General features: G+C 40.0%; 1 long non-coding RNA gene across 1 annotated transcript in view; it reads right to left on the minus strand.

Annotated features, from left to right (window-relative positions):
* Positions 1 to 21,333, minus strand: part of LOC107986094 (uncharacterized) — a 71,566-nt gene that overhangs the window by 28,361 nt on the left and 21,872 nt on the right. The window lies entirely within an intron of this gene.

Consider the following 21,333-nt stretch of genomic DNA (forward strand, 5'->3'; position numbering starts at 1 on the left):
AGAGGCAGAATTGGTTCTCTCTTTCCCACCTCCGTGTTCCAGCTTCTGTAATAAGACAGAAGCCCACACCCCATGGAGAAGGAGTAATTCTCTAAAAGGAAAAAAAAAAAACTGTTAGCACTAAGCTTTAGGAAGATGAATGATTATTGAGCCAATCAAAGTCAAGTGCTTGCTATTCTAGGTTATACATAAATCTATTCTCCAAGATAATTTTACTAGGAAGTTAAAGTCTAGAAGGAGAGAGCTGGGCCACCTGCCATTACATGGATACTTCTTGGGGTCCATTAGTTAAAGTAGTGAAAACAGAAGCTAGTAGGACACATGAAACCCCACAACACCTTCCTAGCCTTGTGAGATGTGCTGAAGTCAGAGAGGAAGACATTTTCAGTGCTCCTTAAAGAAATAAGCTTTTACAAAGGCTTGTGTTGGTTAAGCCCTGCTTAGCACTGCAACATCTATCACAAGGCTCTCCCAGTTCAGTCCACTTCACTTCACCATAAGAAGCCACAGCTCATAACTATAGTGGGGTTCTTAATAGGAAAGAAGTGAAGACTAAACCTTCACAGGTCATTTTTCCCTCTAATTTGGAGTTTGTCATTGTGGGCCTCACCCAGTGATCTAGTGAGGCCCGGATTGCACCAGCCTATCAGCTCTTCTTGCTAATGGCAGGTCCATACCCAGTGATCTAGTGAGGCCTGGATTGCACCAGCCTATCAGCTCTTCTTGCTAATGGCAGGTCCACTTCTTGGCTTCAGGGATATTTATCAGACGTGGAGGCATTTTGGCACCACAGTGGAGACGTATTAGTTTTGCCTATCCAGCTCCCTTTGGTCTTCCTTCCAGAAATAGCATCTGAGTCTGCCAGGAAGGAAACACACCTCCTCTACTCTCAGACTACATGGTCCTGGTGGGTCTGACCACACCTTCTTTTAATCGTGGCATGGGCATGAGCAAAACCGGACAACTGTCATCATCCTTCCCTCTGGCAATAATGATTCATTCAGGAAATGGGCATATTGTCCAAGTTGGGCCAGTGGTATTTAAGTCTGGGATTTCTGATGGAAGATTTGAAAAACAGTCGCTTTTTTACATTCAGATGACTAAAGTCTGAGGATGCTATCTCAGCTAGTGGCAATCTATTCACCATATGGTAATAGACTGCCTCAGAATAAAGATAACAAAGAGAGGCAGAGCTGAGAGATGGAGGAAAGCAGATTTTGAAACTCCCTACTTGAGCATTAGGACACATTCATTAGTGCATCCATTCCTGAGTCTACACCTGAATTTTCAATAGTGTGAGTCAATAATTCCTTTTTCATAATAGAGCCAATTCGAGTTGTATTTCTGTCCACGCTTGTTCTCCACAAGTAGAAGAATGACAAATTCATTCACTCATTCAGCAAATATTCACTGAGCACCTGTCACACACCAGGCCCTCTGGTAGGTACCGGGATGCTGTGATGTGCAAAACAGACATGGAGACTGGGGCTAGAGGGAGACATTAGTCAGGTAAACATACAGATAATATGCTTGGAGTGATTATGATGAATGGCAATGAGAAATAGAGTGCTATGAGACTGTAAGGAAGGTCCCTCTGACCATCCCTGGACACAAAAGAAAATTATGAAATGTCTGAAGTTAAAAAGAGAATGTTGATGCTAGAGAGCAATAGAGAGTCAGCTCTAGGACAGACCAAGGGCAGTGAGAGGCAAGCCAAACCAGCTAGGTAAGTTTCATTTGAGAATCCTCCTTTTTAAGACTCCCAACATAGACCTTGGATATAGTTGAGAATAAGAAAAGTTAAGTCTTCCAGAGAAAGGAACACCGTCTACACTCTGAATAAAGACCTATCAGACAGAAAATCCTTAGCGACCCCAAACATGGTTAAGTTTGCTCTCAAGGAAGAACTCCATGAGCATCTGCCCATTTCCTCTTGTGTCCCCAGCAAGGGGCAGGGCCCCAGTGCCTCCTGTGGGAGGCTGAAGAACCATAGAGCACTATCATTGTCCTTAACAGGCTCACAGCAATGAACAATAGGAGTAATGCATTTATCCAAGAACATAGTTGTGAAATAGACAAATCATGTTCAAGGACAGTGACTCTCAGCAGAAAGAAAGGAGACACGTGAGATTTGAAAAAGGATTCCATATCATAAACCAAAAAAAATGACAACTATTTGGCTGGTGCAGAAACACAGAAGAAAGTGAAAAATATAGAGGAAACTCGGGTTTTAAAAAGGCCTACAAATGCCTCATCTAGAGGAGAGACCCAGGGTAGTGATGGAAAGTAACCTTGTTGGGGACAAGGTCTTTGGGGTCAGTCCAATAGACCAGTGTCTGAATGCCAACACTGCCACTCACAAGCTTCAAGGGACAGGACTCTGGACATATTACTTCACTTTTCTGAGCATCAGACACCACTTTTAAGTAACAGCAATATTAATACTGCCTACTTCAGTGACTAGTTCTGATGAAGAGAAAATAATTGGAAAGAACTTTGTGTTTACTGGTACACAGTAAACAAGGACTCTTAGCTATTGCCATTGCTATCATTGGCACTTTGATGGGTAGGGACTTTGATGGGTAGGGAAGGTATGGATAGATTGGGCTCTTAAGGACTAATATCACCTTAATAGCCAAATAATAGTTATCTTCTACAGAGTATTGATTGAGTGCCAGATATTATGCTGAGCTCTTTCCAACATTCGTCCTCAGTCCTTGTACAGTGAGGATGTTCTATTATAACCCCCATGTACAGATGCCATCACTGAAGTATAAAGAAGTTAGGTTACTAGTTTAGGCTCATATAGCTGAGAAGTAGCAAAGCAGGGATTGACTCTGTACATCTAATTCAAACTCCCCACACTTCCTCAGGTCTGTCCAAACCTAGGAATCCCCCTGGAGACTTTTTCAAAGACTTTATCTCAAGGCCCAGATCTAGAGCCTCCCATTCAGTAAGTCTGCTGGGAAGCCCAAGAATCAGTATGTTTAAAGCTCTCCAGGTGATCCTAGAGATAAAAAGAATCCAGAAACCCCAGCTGTAGAAAACCAAGGCCCTGGAAGAGAGTTAACTGTAGCCCCCCTCCTTCACCATGGCCTTCAGAGTAGACAGAGCCATGTCTCCCACCAATATCAAAGAATTGTTTTCCTGCAGTACAAACTCACTTGGGACCAGGTATAACTCAGCAGGCAGGGACTCACTCCAGGTGCCAATTCTCTACATCAAAGGCAAGAGTTTTCTCTGCCCAGGCATAAGGGCCACTCAAATATTAATTTCAGTCCCATTATAAATCATGAGTTGTAGCTTGTGACCATAGTCCTTTAAAATATCTTGAGCTTCATAGACAGATGAAGTCTGTGACCTAGCTCTTCCTCCTTTCATCCCACTCTCTCATACAATGTTAGGCTACCTATTAAAAACCATCCCTTGTCCCCCAGATCATGGTCGGGCCAAGGAGATAACCAATCTTCTCCACGTGACTCAAGGCCAAAAGGTCCCATTGTGATTCTCCATGCAGGCTCAGAGCAGAGGAGTTAATGGTGTAAGTGGTCTTGTTGTATGCTTGGCACAAATTCACTGCAACAAGTAAAAGCTCTATTGATTTTTTGGAAACACTTAAAATGAACTTTGCTCTCAGCAGGCAGCTAACCAAGACTAGAAGTTGTTCTCTATAATCTGTAAAACCAACAGAGCTGAGGGCTGTGTACATGTGGCTGTCAGCTCAGTCCAAACGAAGCAACCATTTTCACCATATGATCCCAGCAAGTCATTAAAGGTGTGTGGCACCTATGCTTATAGATTAATAACTCAGGAAAATGCATCCAACAGCATCCAAAGTCAATGGGCACCAGGTTAATCCAAGCCTGGACTGTCTATGCAGTGACACCACTCAGCTGCTAAATTCTTTCCCCCTTTTCTAGTATAACTTCCCAGCAGTCATTGCTGCTGCCTGCACAGCAATAAAACTTGTTTAGACAAGCGTTTGAAGCACATTGTTCACACAACAATAGAAAGAGAGACACTGAGAAAAAGTTCCCAGCTTTGACTGATGTGTGAAACAGCCCAAGGTGACATATTATAAAATATTTAGTTGAAACAATGCATATAGCTGGAGCCCTTGAGCAAATATAAACACTAGCACCTTCGTGGCAATTTCTTCGTTATAGGCTGGTGGTTTTTCCATACTATTACTTTTGCTTCATCCTTCTTGATAGAGTACATTTTGAGACTTCCTCCACTGACATTCATGGATTTTTCATACAGATGTTTAACTCTGTTCAAGAAGCATAGGGGCAATGCCCTTTGAAGGCTCAAATGCCTTATTTTCTGCACAAGGGAAGGTTTCAGGGTAAGCAATGCTATTTGGTGGCAATTTACTTCAATCTGTGAGATGGAGCTCTTCAGGATGTGAACAGGCAGGAAAGCAAACTGCCTTTCAGCTCTATTCCCTCCACTCCTGCCTGGAATATGTATTTAAAACAAGCCACCAGCATGTTAAATACCCCATCCCTGAATTTCAGATGAACAAGCAAAAACCATGAAAGTAAATATAAGCAGGCAAACTTAGGGGATAGCTACTATAAGATTTTTCTATCCCTATTTCTCTTTTCTCTACATAAACGTGCTAAATATAACTATGTGTCCTAAACTTACACTTTTGTGCCATTGGGGAAATTTATTTTCTTTTAGTAAGCGTTATTTCCATATTTTTACAATCTATTCCTTGTCTCTATTTTAAGCACATTCGAGTGACAAACATGTACTGAGCACATCCTTTGTGAAGAACACACGGCTCCTACTCATAAAAACCTAAAATCAAGGTAAAGCGTGCATCTCAGTCTTCCTTAGTTCTGCTAAAGAAGCAGCAGTCTTCAAATAATCATTTGAGTATTGCCATTTTCCAAGATATTGGGGCAACCTCCTGGTTTCTGTGTTGTTTGCTTGTCTGTCTGAGCTACTTAAGCCAACAACAATCTGTGGGTTGCAGGCAAAGATGGTCATGGGTATTAAAACCAAAATAACACAGATAGAGAAAGGAAAAGAAATGAGTAGACAGTTGATGGTCATCTCCCATGCTTCCTCCCACTTCTTTCTCTACAGGCTTCCATTTTCATTTAGAGACCCACATGGCTCTGGGAAGCTGAGCCCACCCACCCCAAGCCACACATTCCATCCACTTGGTCACAATTCAGGAGCAGGTAAGTATTTAAGAAAAAATGTTGGTTTGGCTATGAATGGGACAGAGAGCCAAAGTTACCATTGGCTTAAACAAGATCAAAGCTTATTTCTCTGTCACATAAAACTCAAGTTCGTATAATGGCTATGCTCTGTGGAGTCATCAGGGGGCCACAAGCACCTTCTATCTTGTTGCTGTTCCATTCTTAAGAGTGCTGCTCTTGTCTGTGTGGTCTCAGGATTGCTGACAACTAGGAAAGCTCCCATGTTTCCTCTTCTTTAGTTTAGGGGCAAAACACCAGAATTGCACACAATACCTTTCACTTATATCTTATTGGCTAAAACTTAGTCACATGGCCACGCTAGCAGCAAGGGAAGATGGAAAATATAGTCTTTTTATCAGGCATTTATGTGCCTGGATAAAATTCCATTACTAGAAAAGAAGGGGATAGAAGATATGAGAGGTCAACCCAGTAGCCTCTTCCAGGCTTGTGGCCTAGACTATTTTAGGTCCTCATGTTTTGGTTTGGTATCCTGAAAAACAGGTGCATATTCTCCCCCAGGATGTACGGTTTACTGAAGTGGGAACTTGGCCATTTTTGCAATCATAAGGAAAATAATCTTAGGATGACAAAGACAGTAGAAGCAAGTGAATCTTAGAGAAAAGGATCTGGTTATCAGGTGATATTATAAACTTCTAGATCAAACTACATCTGAAGCTCTATCTCTAGACTTTTCACGTATGCCAGCCAGTAATTCTCCTTATTTTCAAAAGCAGCTCGAACTAGGATTTTCTTACTTTCAATTGAGATATCCTAAGATATATAGAGGAAAAGGGATAGAGAAAGAGATGGGGAGAGAGACTGCAAGAGAAATAGAGGAAGATACCAGATGGCCACTAACCCAAAATTTTAACAAAAGCCAGTTTCAGACACAGGAAGGGTGTAAACTACTTACAACAGATGAGCTAAACATTAACAAAAACACAGAATGATCCAAATATTAGCAAAACTCCTTAGAACAGAGAATAGATGACAAAGAATAGCCGGTATTGAGCAGCCAAAAAGCATAATGTTTTAAATAATTCTTTCCAAAGCTGCTCATATGAATTGAACTCTATTATCACATCACCCTCTTCTCTACTTCCTTCCATAGAGAAGAGTTTGTTGGGTGAAATAATACCCTTAATATAAAAGCCTCATTAGATTAGCAATTATTCTAGATCAAAGCCTTGGGTAGATGCCCCTGGCCTTGATTCTTTGACAAATTATATTGTGGTGGCCAATGTGAGGCCTTGAAAACTAGTTTTGTAATCTTCCAAGTATTTAGTCTAAGGCTCCTTCAACTCTTAGCCCTGAGGACAAGACCAAGCAATTACAACCCTTCTGGACTTTATTTTTCCCTAAGATCATCATCAGGAATTTATTAAGCAAATTTTACAGTATAAATGCTGATGAAATAGGCACCATTTTTAGAAAACTAGGATCTGCTTGTTTTGGTAGACATCTCACCTAAAATTCTTTCCATTTTATTGATGTCTAGACTAAGAAGATATAAGAGGAGGAGTAAGAACTGACAGTCATGTGGATTAAAGTTAGTATTCTCTTATCGCAAAAGGGTTATTCAGATTCAAAAACAAAAGTCTGACACGCCAGTGGATATTTTTATGTATTATTTTGCATGTGAGACAGGTGGGAGATGGAGCCAGGCTGTTGAGTGCAGGTTACGGAACAAAACGCCCATTCATTCATTCCCCAAATATTGCCTCTAGCATGAACTGCTCTGGGTATTGAGGCTATGGCATTAACTAAAACAGAGTAAAACAACACTGTTCTCAGGGACCTTAGTTGGTGCTAAGGGCTAAGGAGAAGAAAATGTTGTAAGTAGTTTTGTGATAGCAGGAGAGGGGAGTCTGTTTTAAGTAGAGCAGAGAAAGGCTCCCAGAAAAGGTGACACATCCACAGTAAAGGAAGGGATGAGGGTGACACCAACAAGCCCCGCTTTTTTCCAAGATGCTTTAGCACACTCTACTTTACTTGATAAGTTAGAGCTTTGCCAATGGTTATCCTAGCACAAGGGTAAGTGGCAAGGGTATTGTTTAAGTCAATCACGATTCACTCCCCAGGCTTCAGCACGTTGCTGCCCTAGTGGTTTTTTCTGAAAAAACCATTTTTTCAGAAAAGCACCCACAAATTATGATGGTTTATTCCACCCCTGCCAGGCCAAACTCATCTAAAGTGAAATACTTTCATGATAACTGAAAAGAGTTACCATAATTGACAAGCTTCTATGTCAGAGAGACAAAACTTGCAGGTGAGCCATAGGGCAAATGCACATTCACCCATCGGAAGAATCTAACCTTCTTTACATCATCATTTCTCAGAGGCAGATGGATAAGTGAAATCTGGCTTCTTCTTGCTGAAGGCTCTTCAAGGACATCAACCAATAAAACCACTTGACAATTCAACCAAAGCATACTGTCACTGCCCCTACATACTTCTGATCTTGCTTCACTCACCATCATAATTCAGGAGACCACTTCATAGTCTGGGGAGGTAGCACAAAATGTTCTCACATTTCAAAACCACAGATACCATGCACCTTAGCATTTAGCATAGAATGAATCCCTTTTTTCATTATTTTTCAAATTTGATTTTTTGGGTTACTATTTCTCATTCCTGGTTGGGCCAGAGAGACTCTAGAGATACATTCTACAATGAAAAACATTTTAAAATCTAACAAAAGTGCAAGACAGAGAGTTTTTTCAGTTAATTCAGGAAAAGTAGATGCTTTTTAAGAGAGCTTCTTACCAATGAAGTCATGAGGTGGTATGGTGTGTTAGAAAAGCAGAGAGCATCTGAATGCTTGAATCCTAAGCCCCATGTTTCCAGGTATAAGCCCTTAGGCATGAAGCAATTCATCTGTGTGGGGTTGAGATATTTCCTGCCAACATTATGGGTTTGGGTGGTGGGCTGGGATTGACCAAAAAACATGGTATTTTGTGTGGAAGTGCTTTTAAATAGCTACATTTTATTGTGTGACCCGTATGTGAGAGATGCTACAATGCACCCTTTACTCGCACGTTATTTAAGCCCAAACTCTGTGGCAGGTACTGTTATCGCTATTTTATAGCTGGGGAAAATGGGTAATCAGAATAAATACACAGAAAATTATGGAGCCAGGATTCCAATTTGGATTTGTATGGCTCTTTCCACCAGTGGCTTATAATTTTCAATTCAGAATCTCAACAGGCAGAGTGGCACATGCCTGTAATCCCAGCTACTTGGGAGGATGAGGCAGGAAGATCGCTTGAACCCCGGAGGTAGAGGCTGTATTGAGCTATGATCACACCATTACACTCCAGTCTGGGCGACAGAGTAAGACTCTGTCTCTAAGAAAAAAAAAAAAGAAGTCTTACTAACACGGGCCATTTGGGGTTTCATAGTTCGGGGTGAAGTTTTAGGAGGGGAATAAAGTAACTGAAACAGACTAAGTTGAAAAAAAATAAAGGGATTACACAATTGAAGTTACAAGAATTTCAGAAGCCAACAATCTTCAGACAGAGAAGCATATTGACATTTTTGGACAGATATGGAAAACCAAAGACATGGGAATTACAAGGAGAAAATGTGCCTTTTAGAAATGAGGGGCAGGAGGAGGGAAGAACAGCACAAGCTGGGGGAGTAATTACAGCAGGACACATTTAGTCTCAGACAGTTCTTTGATAACCAGAAAACAACACATTATAAAGTTAGAGATTTAATACTCATAAGGCCATCATAGATAGAATCTTTACCAATGCTAGAAATAATTGAAAACAGAAGCATGCAATTGACCACTTTCTGGTTTCTTTGATTACTCCAAGCTGTTTGAAGAGCTGATTTCTGGAAAGCATTTGAAAACTGGGCATACCAACCCTAACCATCTAATTGCCAATGAAGAAGAATGAATTATTCTGCAATTCTATTAAAGGTGAAAGAGGTCCCAGGGAACAATTCTAACAAAAATTGTATTGACTTGGGATAAAAGCTTGACTGGTGACAGCCCAGACTATTACAATATTGAGCCTGAGTTCAAAGAGAGTATAAGAGCAACTTTATGTTTGGCCACCTTTAGACAAGGTTACCACCCTCTACCAAGTATATGCCAACTTATTCAGATACGGCATTCCATTTCATATATGCTGTCCTTTCCTTACCCACCAAAGAAAAAAAAATGCTACCATATTTGTTTACCCTGACATTTACCTGGCTGTGTTAAGTTTTGCATTCAAGTCATTATTTTGGCCATTGTCTAGTGTCAGATAAATTTATGATGGAGCAGCATCGATGGAACCACTCTTCTGAAGTTGTGGGCGGTTGGTTACCTTATGGAACTCATTAACACTAGAATTGGATACAGCCTGAAAATAGAGGCAGATTGCAAGCAGATTTTGACAATTCTTGGATAACAGATCTTAATGGGTTATCAAGAAGAAAAAAAGTTCAACGATTGCCTATTGAACCTCTATTAGCGTTGTCACATAGGAAACAAGACATCCTCTTAAATTTGAGTTTCAGGTAAACAATGGGTAATATTTAGTAAAATAAGGTCCCAAGGTAATAAGGTCTTAGTATAAAAAGGTCCCAGTGAGTATATGGGGCATACTTCTACTAAAGAAAGGTACTGTTTGTCTGAAACTTGAATCTAACTGGTAACTGGCTTGCTTGTCTGCTTGCTTGCTTGCTTGTCTGTTTTTGCTAAATCTTGCAACTCCAGTCTCTGCTGCTATAAAATCCTATCTCACATGGGGTTAGTTTCTTAATTGGTGAGTAAGGCAAAAATTGCCTATCTTAAAAAATTATCATGTGAAATCTTTTAAATCACTCAAAATCAAGTCTACTTGATTTTATATCATTGTGCTATTATATCTCTCAGTGATTCCAAAACAAATTATCTTACTTGAGTGTTGAAAAACTTCTCAGCTGAACACCAGATAAAGTTTTTAAATTGTATATTAAAATAAGCTGTATAAAATGCTGTATTAAAAACATACATTGGCCGGGCTCAGTGGCTCACGCCTGTAATCCCAACAATTTGGGAGGCCAAGATGAGCGGATCACAAGGTCAGGAGTCCGAGGCCAGCCTGGACAAGTGACCAGCCTGGCCAACACGGTGAAACCCCATCTCTACTAAAAATACAAAATTAGCCAGGTGTGGTGGAGGGCGCCTGTAATCTCAACTACTCAGGAGGCTGAGGAAGGAGAATTGCTTGAACCTGGGAGGCAGAAGTTGCAGTGAGCCGAGATGATGCCATGGCACTCCAGCCTGGGTGACAGAGTGAGACTCCGTCTAAAAAAAAAAAAAAAAAATACATTGTCTGTTTCTTAGATTAATGTTTATCAGACTAATGTAGCACTTTGTTTCAAATACTAAATAGCATACTTAATGACTTATAATGAAAAATAGCATTCCTCTACCCAACCTCTCTGGATACTTCAGTCCAATTCTCCATAGGCAACAAGCCCTCAATCCTTCTAGCTTTTTCCCTTAATATTTACTTTCATATTTATTTTAAAAAAACTATGCCTTTTTGCTTTTTTTCTGGTATAATGAAAATTTTATTGTTTCTATTTGGATAATTGATTAAATGAAACACTGTAACATTTTCCTAACACTAAATGGAAAATTTTCAATTGCTCTATGAAGTTAAATTACACTTATGTCAATTTTTTTTTAGATGGTCTCACAGTCTCACTGTGTTGCGCAGGCTTCAGTGCTATCATGACCCACTACAGCCTCAACCTTCTGGGTTCAAGTGATCCTCCCACCTCAGCCTCCCGAGTAGCTGGGACTTCAGGCATGCACCACTACACCCACCTAATTTTTATATTTTTGGTAGAGACTGGTTTTACTATGTTGCCCAGGTTGGTCTCAAATTCCTGAGCTCAAGGAATCTGTCCACCTCAGCATCCTAAAGTGCTGGGATTACAGGTGTGAGCCACCATGACCAGCCAACTCCTTTTTTCTGTGGAGTACAGTATGATATTTCAATACACGTATGCAATGTACAATGATCAAATCAGAGTAATCAGCATATCCAAAACGTCAAACATTTATAATTTCTTTGTGTTGAGAACACTGAAAGTCCATTCTTCTAGCTATTTGAAAATATGCAGTAAGTTATCGTTTATCATAGTCACCCTCCAGGGCTATAGAACACTAGAACTTATTTCTCCTGTCTACCTGTACTTTTGTACCCATTAACCAATCCGTGTACTATTGTTTCTTAACTTAGCAATTTCACACATTATCTATACATTTTATATTACTTTTGAATCAATCTGTATACTGTCACCATAACTTCTTCCTTGGGCAATCCTTCATTTTTCCTGGAGGCAATCATTGTCTCAGAGTTGTCTTTTTTTTTTAATTTGTCTGATTTTCTAAGCCCAAATTGCTAGTATTTTCCAAATGCCCCAACACCTCTGCCTTCTCACCTATGAATAATGTTTTCCATTTACTTAGACACATCAGTTCCACTATTTTCTATCCCAAAGACCTCCCTCCCAGAACTTCACATCCATTTCCTCTACTCTGGACCTGTCTTTCCGTGCCTGCTGTCCAGGTCACATTCTGGGTCCTGTCCTTTGCAGTTCTCCTGTCTTGAAGTGTCTGTTTCTGAATTCCATGTTTGCTTTTGTTGTCTTTGTTGACCCCATTATTAAACCACACCCTCCAGAATCTTCCTAAGGAAGGCTGCCCTAAAAGCAAATATTTTGAATCCTCACAAGTATGACAACACCATTTGTCTATTCTAAGTTGATAGGCTGAGTAGAATTTTAGCTTGAAGATTCTTTTCACTCAAAATTGTGTTGCTCTATTGCTTCCAGTTTTCTGGATTGCTGCTGATGAGAAATGACTCCTGATAACCCATACGTGACTCCCAATACCACATGACTTATTTTCTTCTCTTAAAGCTTGCAGAACTGGCTCTTCAATTTTGGGGTTCTGAAACCTCATGATGATGTGCTTTCATGCAGGTCTGATCTCATCCATCGCACTAGGTGCTTATATTCATTTCCTAGGGCTGCTGTTACAAAGAACCACCAGCTGAGTGGCTTAAAGCAACAGACATGTATTCTATTAAAGTTCTGGAAGCTGGATGTCCAAAATCAAGATGTCAACACGCCTGGCTCCTTCTGGAGGCTCTGAGGGAGTATCTGTTCCCTGCCTCTCTCCAAGGGTTGATGGTTGCTAGCAATGCTTGCCATTCCTTGGCTAAATTCGCATTATCACTCCAGTTTCTATTTGTATGAGGACTTCTTCCCTGTGCGTCTCCTCTATTTCTTTGTATGGCCTTCTTATAAGGACACCAGTCACTGGATATGGGCCCCATGCCAATCCAGTGTGACCTCATTTTAGCTTCACTGATTACATCTGCTACTTATTTGGAAAAACTATATTTCCAAATAAGATCAAGGCGTGGAAAAACTCAAACTGTCTTATCTTCTTCTCTCACACCACCAACAACCACCAACACAGAATACCTCTGTGACCAAATGAGTGGGAGTTTTTCCTTACTCACCAAGCAGCAGGCACCAGCTGAGTGTCCCCTAATTTAATTCTGACACCCTCTACCTGGAGATAGAGTAAGATCCCACAGGTTGAGGGCTGTCCCTCAAGACTGCCTCCCTCCTCCCCCAGACCCCAGTGGCAAGTCCAGGCTTCTGGAACTTTTCACCAACTGCTCCAAGTTGGGGTTCCCATGCTTCCCTCTTTGGGTTTGATTAATTTGCTAGAGTGATTCACAGAATGCAGGGAAACACTTACATTTACTGGTTTCTTATAAAGGATATTACAAAGGATACAGATGAAGAGATGCGTAAGGTGAGGTATGGGAAGGGGTATGGACCTTCCATGCCCTCCCTTGGTGAGCCATCCTCCAGTAGCCTCCATGATGTCCAGCTATCTGGAAGCTCTGCAAACCCTGTCCTTTTGGGTTTTTATGGAGGCTTCATCACATATGCATGATTAATTAAACCAGTGGCCATTGGTAATCAACTTGCACTTCAGACCCTCTCCCCTCCCTGAAGGTTAGGGGTGGGGCTGAAAGTCCCAGCCCTCTAATCCTGCCTTGATCTTTCTTGTGATCTGCCCCATCCTGAAGCTACCCTTGGATGGCCAGCCACCAGTCAATCAGTAGCATATAAACAGACATCATTTTGGTAATTCTAAGAATTTTAGCAGTTTTATGCCAGAAAACGGGGTTGAAGACCAAATATATATTTCACAGTATCACAATCACATTCTGAAGTTACAGGTCAACATAAATTTTGGGGGGACACCATTCAACCTGAGACAGGAATAATACAGGATGGTCACAGAATAGAAAATTCCAGGGGCAGTTTCACATGACTAGCAAAAGGAAACTGTTGAAATAGCTGCAGAACCTAGGGGCTAAGACCCTAAAATACAGAGTGTGGACCAAGCTGGCTAAGACCAACTGGACTCAACATGGCACTGAATTTGTCCTAGGTTTCACCTAGAACCTCATTATACGCTCATTAACATACTAAACATATACCCACCAGCACCATGACAGTTCCAGGAATACCCATATTTGGTGTAAAAATGGGTGGCATCAGTTTTGAGAAATCTCCACCTTTTTCCAGGAATCTTCGTGAATATTCCACCCTTTGGTTAAAAAAAGTCCATAAAGGTGAAATCCCATACCCTCTTGTATGTCTCTTATGTGATTCTCTCTTGAGTATGCCCACACTCCCCATTTTTTTTGTTGTTTGTTTTGTTTTGTTTTGATACAAGGTCTCGCTCTGTTGCCCACACTGGAGTGCAGTGGCAGGAACACGGCTTGAGTATGTATTTTTCACTTTGCAATAAATGTCTGTACTTTCAATATTTTTTTACTCATCCTTGAATTCCTTCTTGTGATGGGGTCAAGAGCATGGACACTGGCTGGCATCAAGGTCCCACTGGCGTTTGGGACCATATCAAAGCCACTGTAGTGTTCATGAGTTCCTTTCATTCTGGAACTCACCTCCTTCACTTCCAGACATTTTTCTTGATTAATTGATGTTTTCCTTTCCTCTCTTTCCTCTAGTTTTGCTCCCTGAAATTTCTGTAACTTGCATCCCGAACCTCCTGGAATTATCGTCTAATTTTCCTATCCTTGCTCTCTTGTCCATTTCTTTTTGTTATGCCCATCTATGGAACTTTACATTTCAGCTTTAGTTTCCATTTCATTTCAGCTTTTTAATTTCCAAAAGTCTTTTCTTTTTCTCAGATTTCTCCCTTTTTTATAGCCTCTTGTTCTCATGTCATGGATGCAGTATCTTGTAATATCTCTGAGGAAATTAATTACTGGTTGTTGTTGCTGCTGCTACTGCTGTTATGTTTTTCTTTTCAAAGTTTTCTTGGGTTCTTACTTTGTTTCTGTTTCTTCCAGGAAGATAGAAATGTCTCTGTCTTTCAAGTTGAAGGCTTTCCTCAAACGTGTTGATCTTTTGATGTCCTTACTAAAAAGTGCAATACTAAAAAATCACATTAGAAGCTCTGTATGAATGGGAGAGTTTCACTTCAGTGTGCTGATACAATAACCTAATTCTCACATTCAGTTTCTCCAGAAAAGGAACACCTGGTCTCAGCCAGTCAGAGTGCCCCACACCTGTAATCCCAGCCCTTTAAGAGGTCAAGGAAGGAGGATCACTTGAGGCCAGGAGTTCAAAACCAGCCTGGGCAACATAGTGAGACTCCATCTCTAAAAAATAAAAATAAAAACAAAATTAGCAGGGTATGGTGGTGCACACCTGTAGTCCCATCTTCTCAGGAGGCTGAGGTGGGAGAATTTCTTGAGCCTAGGAAGTCAAGACACCACTGTATTCCAGCCTGAGCAAGAGAGTAAGACCCTGTCTCTAAAATAAAAAAATAAAAGAAACAGCTAGTCTCTCATCAAGTTGGATAGAGAGAGTGGATAGAGGAGAGTATACTGGTGAAGCAGAATGGACAGGGAATCTGGGCTTTTATTGCTCCATTTTTTTTTTCAAATAGTCTCTCTGTGTGTTCAACCCCATTCATTACCCCTGCCCTAAGTAGTGATGTGTTAGATGAATACAGAATAAAAAAGGAAAGTTAGTATTTTTTAGGGCTTAAAGTATACCAGGTATTTTCGCTGACTTTTAAAAATTTTATTTCTTATATTTGAGGGCTGCAATCAAACAAATCTTCTCCTCAAATATTGCCATTTGAGTGGATAAGAACGATTTTAAAAGTGTCTTACCTTATATATGATGTGGAAAGGAAGAGATGGCATTTGTTGGTAACTTGTCAAAGCTGTGTGGGAGAATTGTGGAACAGGTGTGGGATGAGGCTGCAGTAGTAAGTGGAGTTGAGAAATCCCTATGTGGTGAGGCATGCAATGCCAGTTGGGAAACAATATTGGTCTCAGACTATAGCTAAAGGCAATTCACGGGGTGAGAAGGACGGAGCCAACATGCTCAGAACACTTGTGGTTAAGAGCATAGCACTTGGTTTGCCAGGAGTCTGGGTGTGAGTCCATGTCTTCTCACCAACTCACGCTCCCATTCCTATCCATTCTGAATTCTCCATTACTGCTCCGAATCGCCTTCCTGCTTGTGCTTTTCTGAAGAGTGTCAGGCCTCACTGGACACCACCCCAGTGCCTTCACTCCACATCACAACCCAGACAAAGGATAGTATATGCGTTCCTCTACAGATGGCTTAGAAAAGAGTGAACGGGCAGAGGGCAGAGGAGGGGAAGTGTACCCACAGCACTTTACAGAGATTGGCTGAAGATTGGATTTTGGCCATCCATGGTTTTTTAGTTGTCCTATTGGGTTTTTTTGTTTTGGTTTGGTTTGGTTTTGAGACAGGGTCTCGCTGTGTCACCCAGACTGGAGTGCAGGGGCGCGATCTCGGCTCACCACAACTTCCGCCTCCCAGGTTCAAGTGATTCTCCTGCCTCAGCCTCCTGGGTAACTGGGATTACAGGCATCTGCCACCACACCTAGCTAATTTATTTTATCATTATTATTATTATTTTGGTATTTTTTTAGTAGAGACAGGGTTTTACCATGTTGGTCAGGTTGGTCTCAAACTCCCAACCTCAAGTGATCCACACACCCCAGCCTCCCAAAGTGCTGGGATTACAGGTATAAGCCATTGCACCCGGCCAAAATTCAGTTATCTTTGTTTCCATTTTCTACCTTAAGAATTGTACAGAGACCATCATTTTACTGATAAATATATTTTGATAAACAAATCCAGAAACAAGTGTTGCCATCCCTTAAAAAGACAGATGTGACTGCACATTTTTTTAGTACAGTTTGTCTTTTCTCACATCTACACATAGTTTGGACACATTTTTATAAATATATATGTATGTATGCACATACACATACTTCATATATGTATTTATATATGATGTGCTATATATATTATATATGTATAGATATATATTACATCTACAGTCATGTGTTACTTAACAATGGGGAGTCATTCTAAGAAATGCATAGTTAGACAATTTTGTCCTTGTGTGAACATCAGATTGCACTTACACAAACCCAGATGGGCTAGCCTACTACACACCCAGGCTGTATGGTATAGTCTATCGCTCCTAGGCTATAAATCTCTACAGCATGTTACTGTACTGCATACTGTAGGCAACTGTAACACAATAAGTAACACAATTATGCATTATGTATATCTAAATGGTACAGTACATATTGTAGAAAAGATTTAAAATGGTCCACCTGTATAGGGCACTTACCATGAATGGAGCTTGCAGGACTGGAAGTTGTTCTGGCTGAGTCAGTGAGTGAGCCGTGAGCAAATGTGAAGGCCTAGGACATGACTGTACACTACTGTAAGCTTCATTAGCACTATACGCTTAGGCTACATTAAAGGTATAAAAAAATTCTTTCTTTAATAAATTAACCTTAGCTTACAATAACTTTTTAACTTTATACACATTTTTTAACTTTTTGACTCTTTTGTAATAACACTTAGCTTAAAACAAACTTTTTGTACAATTGTACAAAAATATTTTTTCTTTATATCCTTATTCTATAAGCTTTTTTCTATTTTTAAAACTTTTTTTAGGCCGGGCGCAGTCGCTCACGCCCATAATCCCAGCACTTTGGGAGGCCGAGGCGGGCGGATCACGAGGTCAGGAGATGGACACCATCCTGGCTAACACGGTGAAACCCCGTCTGTACTAAAAATACAAAAAAATCAGCCGGGCGTGGTGGCGGGCGCCTGTAGTCCCAGCTACTCGGGAGGCTGAGGCAGGAGAATGGCGTGAACCCGGGAGGCGCAGCTTGCAGTGAGCCGAGATTGCGCCACTGCACTCCAGCCTGGGCGACAGAGCGAGACTCCGTCTCAAAAAAACAAAACAAAACAAAACAAAACTTTTTTTTTATTTTTACTTTCTAGCCTTTGTTGTTGTTGTTGTTGTTAAAAACAAAGACATACACACACACATTAGCCTAGGCCTACAAAGGGTCAGGATCATCAATATCACTGTCTTCCACCTCCACATCTTATCCCACGGGAATGTCTTCGGGGGCAATCAGACGCATGGAGCTGTTGACTCCTATGATGACAATGCCTTTTTCTGAATACTGCCTGAAGGATCCACTTGAGGCTGTTTCACAGTTAACTTTTTTTTTAGTAAGTAGGAGTACGCTCTAAAGTAATGATAAAAAGTAGAGTAAATGCATAAACCAGTAACATAGTCATTTATTTTATGTACTGTAAATAATTGTATGTGCTAGACTTTTATACTACTGGCAGCACAGTAGGTTTGTTTATACCAGCATCACCACAAACACGTCAGTAATGCATTGTGCTGTGACATTAAGACAGCTACAAAGTCACTAGATGTCGGGAATTTTTCAGCTCCATTATAATCTTGTGGGATCACTGTTGTACATGTGGTTCATTGTTGACTGAAACACCTTTATGCAGTGCATGACTGTACACATGTGTGTGTGCTCGTGTGTATCATAAATTTACACAGATATATAGAGAAGAGAAAGTGGAGTTTGGAATGGTATCTACCAAAACTCTTAATAAAGGTTATAGTAATTTTCTCTGGAAAGGGCTGTTAGAGAGGATGTCCTTTTCACAGAAATACATCACTCAAATAATGAGAAAATAAAAGCAAAACTATTTCCGTTTAGGAAAAAAAAGGCAAATTGAATATATGTGAGATGAGTAGTGAACATAAAACATCGAAGTAGAACCACAGATAATTTAAAAGGGAAGGAAAAAAGACATTTATAATAGAGAGTGAAGGAAAAAATCATACTCTTAAAAAACTCACTAAACAGAAGATAACACAGCTTATGTAACATTCTCATAACAACAAAACTGAGGTCCTAGGTGTACTTCCTGGAGCATGTTAAAAATACAGCTACAGGTTAATGAAAAGGCTGAGTGAAGGAAGTTAACTTTAAGACTTGCAAAATCTGCGCAACCTGGAATTGCATTCCTATTAAGGAAGTGGGTAGCTCACACTTCCCCTCCCAATGTACCTCTTCATGGATATTTCTGACCACTTTCATTCTGATAACATGTTAAAATAGCCAATTTGGCCAAATTTACAAAAATAAATGTGGCTATGTATGCAATCCCACATCCAGTATAGATGACAGCGAAGCCCAGATCTCTCTGTCGTAGTTCCCATATGTTCACCTCATCTCCCGTTAGCGTTCTGAAATGGATGGCATCATTGGAAAATAGTACAGGTCCCAAGAAGTAGAAAATCATCTCCAAGTTAGAAAAAAAAAAAAAGACTGAGCTATAAATCACATAAAAGATGGAAGAATTCCCTAATGTCTTAGCTTTTTTCTTACTTTCTAGTCAGGAAAAGTTACTTTTACAGGAAAAAATTATTAAAGTTTTTAAGCTTTTAAAAGTTGATGAGTCAACAATGACAGATTAGGTTATTTGGACTAACTCTTCCACTAAAAACAACTAAAACTGACGTAGTAAACATTTTTAGTCCTTTTAACAGCATCAAAGAGCTGGCAAAATGAAAAAGGAAATACCAAGTACCAAAATAAAAGATGTAAATGGAAAACTTTGTAGTTGCTTTAGGTCTGAAGCCATTTGCCAATTTGGAAGGAACTAAGCTGTCCTTTTAATGGACTTGTGGTATGGAGGAAGCAATAACTAAAGGATGAGGCCCATTCAATGTCGTGTGTCTAGTAAATCACCTCCATCTATAATACCCCGAGCTCTCAAAGGTATACAGTATTGGGGAACGGATAAATCAATATATCTACCTATCTCCTTCCACCCGGGTAGATTGCAGGGAGAGATACCTTGGACTAAGAAGAGCTGGAGAAGAGAAATAAAGAGGAAGGAAGGAAAGAAAGAGAAAACATAGACAAATTGTCCCTGAGAGGAGGCGAAGCATGGGCACTTTCTCTCTAGGATTTACATCACCAATTTTGCAGCACCTAAGTGATCCAAGAAGTATAAACTATGATTTTAACTTAAATAGTTATTCAGTCATTGGGAAATACCCCATATAGAGTTGTTTAAGGGAAATAAACACTTCACAAAGACAGCAAAGTACTTAAGGAAATAATACGCCATGGGTGAAAACCAGCAGAAATAATGGACACCTAAGGATTTCAGATATTGCAATTATTAGACATAAATTATTAAAAATTATGTTCTATGTTTAAAGAAATAAAAGACAAACTTAGAAATAAATGCAGGGTATAGGAAACTAAACAAAATATCATAGCAGATTTGAAGAAGAACATGATTGAACTTCCACAAATAAAATATACAATAACCAAAATTTAAAACTTAAGGTATAGTATTGGTCCACAGATCAGATGAAAAAGAACTAAGTAAACTGAAAGAGAGAATAGAAGACATTTATCCAGAATGCAGCACACAGAGCACATAATTGAAAAGAAAAAAGGCTCAGGAACAAGAATATAAGGAGGGGAAGTAAGAAGAGAGGGGAAGAGAAAACCTAATATACATTTTTTAAAACCTTTTTTAAGTGATATAAAAGAAAATGAGGTGGTGGCTCACACCTATAATCCTAGCACTTTGGGAGGCTGAAGCAGGCAGATTGCCTGAGCTCAGGAGTTTGAGACTAGCCTGGACAACATGATGAAACCCTGTCTCTATGAAGAAATACAAAAATTAGCCAGGCATGGTGGTGCATGCCTGTAGTCCCAGCTACTCAGGAGGCTAAGGTAGGAGAATCATCTGAGCCCAGGAGAGGTTGAGGCTGTAGTGAGTTGTGATCATGCCACTGAACTCCAGCCTGTGTGACAGAGAGAGACAGGAAGGAAAGAAAGAAAGAAAGAAAAGAAAGAAAGAAAGAAAGAAAGAAAGAAAGAAAGAAAGAAAGAAAGAAAGAGAGAGAGAGAGAGAGAGAGAGAGAGAGAGAGAGAAAGAAAGAAAGAAAGAAAGAAAGAAAGAAAGAAAGAAAGAAAGAAAGAAAGAAAGAGAGGAAGGAAGGAAGGAAGGAAGGAAGGAAGAAAGAAAGAAAGAAAGAAAGAAAGAAAGAAAGAAAGAAAGAAAGAAAGAGAAAGGAAAGGAAAAGAAAGAAGAGAGACAGAGATTGAGAGAGAGAGAGAGAGAGAAGGAAGGAGACAATATTTGAAGCATTAATGAAGAGAGAATTTTCTAGAACTGGTGAAAGATGTCAGTCCACAGATTCAAGAAGCTAAATGACTTCCAAACAGGGCATTTAAAAAAAAAATCTTAACCTAAATATACCAGAGTAAAATCGCAGGAAACTAAAGTTTAGAAAAGTTTAAAAGCAAAAAGATTTTTTTGGAGAAAAAAACACAGCAGTTGACTGATAGCTGACTTCTTAACAGAAGACAATAGATGGGTGGAGTTGTATTGTCAATTTACTGAAGACAAATAACAGCCAACTAAGAATCCTCTACCCACCTCCACCAAATCATTCAAGAACAAAAGTGAAGACATTTTTAGACAAAAACTAAGACTGCCTACAAAAATCTAATTCTAAAAGATAAACTTTAGGCAAAAGAAAAGTGACTTCAGATGGAAGAAGTATTAGCAAGAAGCAATGGAGAGCAAAGAACATGTAACAAACAAAGACTGAAGCATCTTTTCTTGGAAAGTTTGTAAACACATT

This window comes from Homo sapiens, chromosome 3, assembly GCF_000001405.40.
Source record: "Homo sapiens chromosome 3, GRCh38.p14 Primary Assembly".
NCBI classification, from domain to species: domain Eukaryota; kingdom Metazoa; phylum Chordata; class Mammalia; order Primates; family Hominidae; genus Homo; species Homo sapiens.